Below are 6,000 nucleotides of genomic sequence, written 5' to 3' on the forward strand. Positions count from 1 at the left end.
GAGCTAAAATATTTTATTCTCTGTCTCCCTTAGATATAGAGTTGCCAATGCGGCACAAGCAAAGGTTGTTAGGTGGGATTTATGAGCAGACTTTTCAAAAGAGATGGGTGTACTTGGGGGGCATGATTCCCTCCTTCTATTTTCTTCTTGCAGGGAGTACAGATGCAATAGCTGGAGCCACAGAAGCCATATTGTGACCATCAGGCACCTTGAACTTGCTGGCCTCGTGCTAAGGCTCTTAGCGCAGAAGAGTCCGGATATTTCCTGATTACTCTGACACAAGAGAAAAATAAAACCTCAATTCACTTAAACTGTGGTCTTCTGGGTCTCTTTTATTAGTTGCCATTTCTAACTGATGCAGACTATACATATAGAAGTGGATCTAGAATGTCAATCTTTCTATATTAAGCCTGGCATGTGTGGTTTAGACTCAAACAAACAGCATTCATTCTCCATCATATTAAATTAACGTTGATAATTTAAATTGTATGTTTATGTAGTTATGTTTAGAAGGTGAGGGGGTTTTCTACAAAAATAAGATATAAGAGGTTAATATGTTGATTTACACTGGTATAAATTTAAAATCAACTGATTTAAGTAACTATTAGGAGCCTCTTCATTTTTGTTCCTTAAAATGGACCCTACATTATTTGAGTTTAAGAAATGCTGGACTCGTGGCCAGAACTCCTCCCTGCACCCCGTCATGTTGGAGCTAAGCAGGAGAATCAGGAATTCTCATTAGCAGGTGAGAAGATCTCAAGCTGGGAAGTCTAGGGTTTGGCTTCAAGTGAGAGTGGGGAATAAAAGAAATGCTTTCTTGCATTTTAAAAAACGTTCCCACCCAAGACAAGCCCCAGCAGCATTTGTCTTCTCAGCGTTTCCTGGCCCAGAGTGAGGCCAGAAAGCAGAAACTACGAAACACCTTCATGAGAGGCTGTTTCTATAGTGTCCCCTGCAAGTACCAGTGCAGGAAAGACACAGGACTCAGAGGAAAACCCGCCTGATGAGATTTCCATCTCAGGGCAGATGGAGCTGCTGTGACCAAGAGTGAATCCATCACCTGTCAGGACAGAACTTAGGCTTCCCCTGTGGCTCCACTGAGCATATCCCTCAGTGGGCCCAGTCTCTGCGTCTGGGCAATGGGACCATGGGTTCAGCAGAGCATCTACTGGGCATCTGTAGTTTGAAGCAACTCAATAACATATGTTCACACGGGAGGTATCTAAGTAGAGCAAGGGTTGTATCAGAGTTAACTTAGTTTGTTTAAGGTATTCCTTTTCCTTCCAAAGGGATATTTGTTTCAACCTTTTGTTGCAAATGGCATTTCCAGGCTCCACAGATCTGGGGCCAGGACCACATTTGGATGAATCAGAGCAAATCCTTGGAGCAGTCGGTGCCTAAGTGCAGATAAATGCTGGAGGCTCAGGCTGAGTCCTTAAACAAGCTCAAGAGTAAAGGAGGCTTGAACCAGTGGAACCATGAGAACTCAGATCCAAAACAAATCTCTCCCGGCTAATCCCCACAGTAAGGGGAGAGGGTCTTTGCTTTGGAGGGGCTGCGAGTGTGCCAAGCTACATGCTAAATCTAATGAAGTCAAGTTTAACAGAAATAAGAGCAAAGTCATCCTGCTGGGTCCAAGAAGTCAATGATGCAAGTCAGAGTGGGGATATTTTTTGTTATTATTACAGTGAACATCGAGCATTTGCTATGTACCAGGCATATTGCCAAGCATCTGTGTGTATTATTTCACTCCAAAGAAGGTAGTGGATTTCCCCTGCCAGGGGCTGAGTCCAGCCAGGTGAAGCCCCAGGGTGTGTGGTGATTGCTGAGTCCTCTGTAACATCTCTTACAACCTGGACTCCCCCGGAATCATTATTTATCATTGGTCTCTCCTGCTAGACTGTGAGCCCCACAAGGGCAGAGACTATTTCTAGCTGGTTCACCCTAAATCTCCTGCTTTGAATGGCACCTGGCACATGTAGTTTCTCAGTTAATCCTGGCTGCACAAATGAATGTGGTAATGAATCAAAGCCAGCCTCTTGGAAAACACCTGGGTCTTCAGTGGCCTGCGAACCTCCATAAGATCCCCAGACCAAACTTGAATCACATACCTGGCAGTTCTGTCATTCAAGGTGGCTCATGGGTGAAGCATGGTCTTGAGTCATATGTCCTCTGCCTTTGAATCTTGTCTCAACCATCTACTAGCTGGAAGGCCTTGGGTATGGGAACCAAGCCTCAGTTTCCTCTTCTGAAAATGGGGATAATAACTGAACTGACTCAGAGGGAAGTTGTGGAGGATGAAGAAGACTGCATGCAAAGCCCTTACTTAACAGTTTTTGGCATAGAATGGGATGGTTGTGAGCTTGTGTTATAGCTACTATTATTTGCATTGTGAGCTATTGTTAAAGTGAATATGATTCCTAGAGTTGAATTTTTGGATGCAGCTCTAGGATCTTCAGAGCTCCCTGTTCAATTTTACCTGCCTAGATTTGACCTATTCTCCAATCACCTGAGATCCTTTGAAGTCCTGGGTTTGCCACCTGCTGCCACCCAGCTACCTACCAGTCAGACATCTGGTCATAGATTCTCTGTGTTCCCCTTTGAATCATCAAAGAAAACGTTTAGAAGTGTACGGTCAAGGCAGAGCCACAAGGGACTTTCTGACGAGGAAGCTACATTTCTGCAAAGACACAAGCAGTGGTGATAAGTCCAGTGAAATGGAGTTGATCTACAAGGCAAAGGAGTGGCACGGATTTGATCCAAAAGTCCCCAGAGAGGCTCAAATAATGGCCAACCTTGATCATGACCATCCCGTGTGCCAGGCACTGTGCTAAGTGTTGCTTGTATTTCCTCTCCTTTCATCCTCACAATGACCTGTGAGAGGACCTCTGCTATTATCCCATTTTAAGCATAAGAAACTGAGGTTCACAGAGCCCAAAGTCACACCAGAAGTGGTGAAGAGGGATCTAGGCACGGTTTTGTCATTTGAAGTTTTCACCTAAGACTCAAAACATGTCTGACTCAGCACCTTGTATTAGATATTGACTACAGTCTACCCAACTATGGGAGTCAAGGAATCTGGGGCTCGAAGGATGGATCCCACCTGGGAACTCACCCGCAGCCACTCCCCCGGGCTCTCCTGCACAACAGGCTGTCTTGGGAAATACTGTCTTTCCCAAGCTGTGTGACTGACTCCCTGGCTTCAGTCAAAAGCCACTTATGTGGATGAAATGACACTCCCCTCCAGGGACCAGCGCAACAATTTGTTTTGGCTGCTTTCAAAGCCAGGCTCTGGTGAGGGCCTGATTTCCCACCCTGGAGTGACTCAGAGCATCAGGAAAGAATTGAAAGGTTTTGAAGAAGACACAGAGCCTAGCCTACATACAGATGTGTCATGCCAGGACGTTTACCACTGTGATCCCTAAGGGTAAGAAAACAGAGACAGCCCATGACTTTGACATAGAGGGTTTCCCATCAGCCACTGTTTGCACCTATTTAAAAATATTTACTTTCACTTATTCTCCCTTCTGTTTATTTACTTATTGAGCAAATATTTATTGACCCACAACCATGTGCTATGTATTTCATCTCCTTTCATCCTTAGGAGGACCTGTGAGAGGACCTCTGCTATTATCCCATTTTAAGGATAAGAAACTGAGCAAGGTCTGTTAATACAGCAAAGAATAGGATGGCTGTGTCCCTGCCCTGGGGGAGCAGCCAGCCAATCAAAGCAATGGATGGGTAATTCGGACATGCATGGGATTAGAGAAAATACAGGGGGCCGTACCATCACAGGGCCTCCTAGCATGATTACAGGGTAAATGTTAATGATCTGGGAAAACCCTTATGTGAAAACGTTAAGTGAAAGAACAGGCTACAAAATTTTCTATGAAGCGTAATTCTAACTTTATTATAAAAATATACGTGTTCGTGAATAAGGAAAAAGACCGTGAGGAAATACATTAAAATGTCAACAGTGGTTATCGCTGAGTTGTGGGAATTAAATATTCTTTTTTTTTTTTTTTTTTTTTACCTTAATGCAAGGCTCAGATTCTCAACCACAAGTAGGGATTCATTTCATTTTATAGGTTTATATATGTTTTAATTATAAAAGTAATTTATGCTCTTTGGAAAACTTGAAAGTGCTTAACTCCCCTCTCCCCACTCCAAACCCTATTATTTAAAAATGGGATGTGCTTCAGGCATCACCCATAAGTATCAATTTTGCTGTTTCAATGTATATACTGTTTGTAATGTTGGTTTGTTTCTTAAAGAAACATAGGGCCAGGTACGGTGGCTTACGCCTGTAATCCCAGCACTCTGGGAGGCCAAGGCGGGTGGATGGCCTGAGGTCAGGAGTTCGAGACCAGCCTGGCCAACATAGTGAAAACTCATCTCTACTAAAAATAGAAAAAATTAGCTGGGCGTGGTGGCAGGCACCTGTAATCCCAGCTATTTGGGAGACTGAGGCAGGAGAATCGCTTGAACCCTGGAGGCAGAGTTTGCAGTGAGCCAAGATCGTGCCATTGTACTCCAGCCTGGGCAACAAGAGTGAAACTCTGACTCAAACACACACACACACACATACATATCTATATGTCTATATGTTTCATATATGTTCCTCTAAATTATATGTATATATTACATATGTGCATATATATTATATATAAACATATAATTTCTGCAACTTTCTCCTAATAACATATTTTGGCCATTTCATAACAGTACATGTAAATCTACTCCCATTCTTGTTCACAGCTGAAAGGTATTCCAAAGTATGGCAGTAGAAAATGTACTAAATCCCCCCAAAATGATGGACATCCTTAAATCAATACCTTTGCACATCTGCACAAAGATCCTCTTTCTTTCTTTCTTTCATTTTCTCTTTCTTTCTTTCTTTCTTTCTTTCTTTCTTTCTTTCTTTCTTTCTTTCTTTCTTTCTTTCTTTCCTTCTTTCTTTCTTTCCTTCTTTTCTTTCTTTCTCTGTTTTTCTTGGAGTATTGCTCTATCACCCAGGCTGGAGTGAATGGCACAGTCATGGCTCACTGCAGCCTCGAACCCCTGGGCTCAAGAGATCCTCCCAAGTAGCTGAGACTATAGGTGCATATCACCACACCCAACTAATGCACAAATATTTTAGAGGACAAGTTCCTGCAAGCAGGCTTCCTGGGTGTGGTATATTTGTAATCAGTCGTTAAATTAGTATTGAAATAACACCCATGATATTTGGGTGAGTGGCAGAATGGGGCTACAAGCTCTGTCAGAACAGGGCAGAAAGTACAAACAGTACTTTCTTGGTCCCATTTAACAAATGGGAAAACTGAGCTCAGGGAGGCCAGCTCTTGCCCAAGGTCATGGGTGAGTAGGTGCCACGGCCAAGCCTAGAAGTCGAGACTAACTCCCATCGGGGCTCTTTTCTCTCCCCAAGGCCCCATCCAATACTCCTCAGCTGGGACTCAAGAGACTTGTGTGAGTCTCTCCCTTCAGGCCAGTCTGCCTTTGACCACAGCCGGGTTATTGACTGCACTTTCAATGTGTGGCCTTGTGGGTGGAATTACTGGCCCTTAATTGAATTGAAAACAAAAGGAGATTGAATTTTATGGGGAGCAGGAGGCCATTGGAGGGAGGAAATCAAATGCAGAACAAGCATGAAAGGTTCCTGGAGGAAGATGAGCTGCAGGTGGGAGTGTGGGGCTGATGGGGCTGTTTCTGGGTCTAAGGCGGAAGGGAGCTGCCGCATTTAAGGTCAGTCCCTCCCTGTGGGCCCTCTGTTCTCTCACTCCCCTTGTTCCAACCCGACGCTGTCCTCTGATATGCATCCTGCAGACAAAGAAGCACCCGGATTCCCATGCAGCCAGCTGCAATGGCACTGGCTTTTGATGACTCTGGGATCTTGGGTCTGGTTGTCCCAGGCGAGTGAAGGAGGCCAGCTCCTCACTGCAGATGCCCAGCCCAGGGAGAAAGTATGTTTGCATCATGAATTAACTCCATGCCTGTTCA

The sequence above is a fragment of the Homo sapiens genome, chromosome 22, assembly GCF_000001405.40.
Source record: "Homo sapiens chromosome 22, GRCh38.p14 Primary Assembly".
In the NCBI taxonomy this organism is placed as follows: domain Eukaryota; kingdom Metazoa; phylum Chordata; class Mammalia; order Primates; family Hominidae; genus Homo; species Homo sapiens.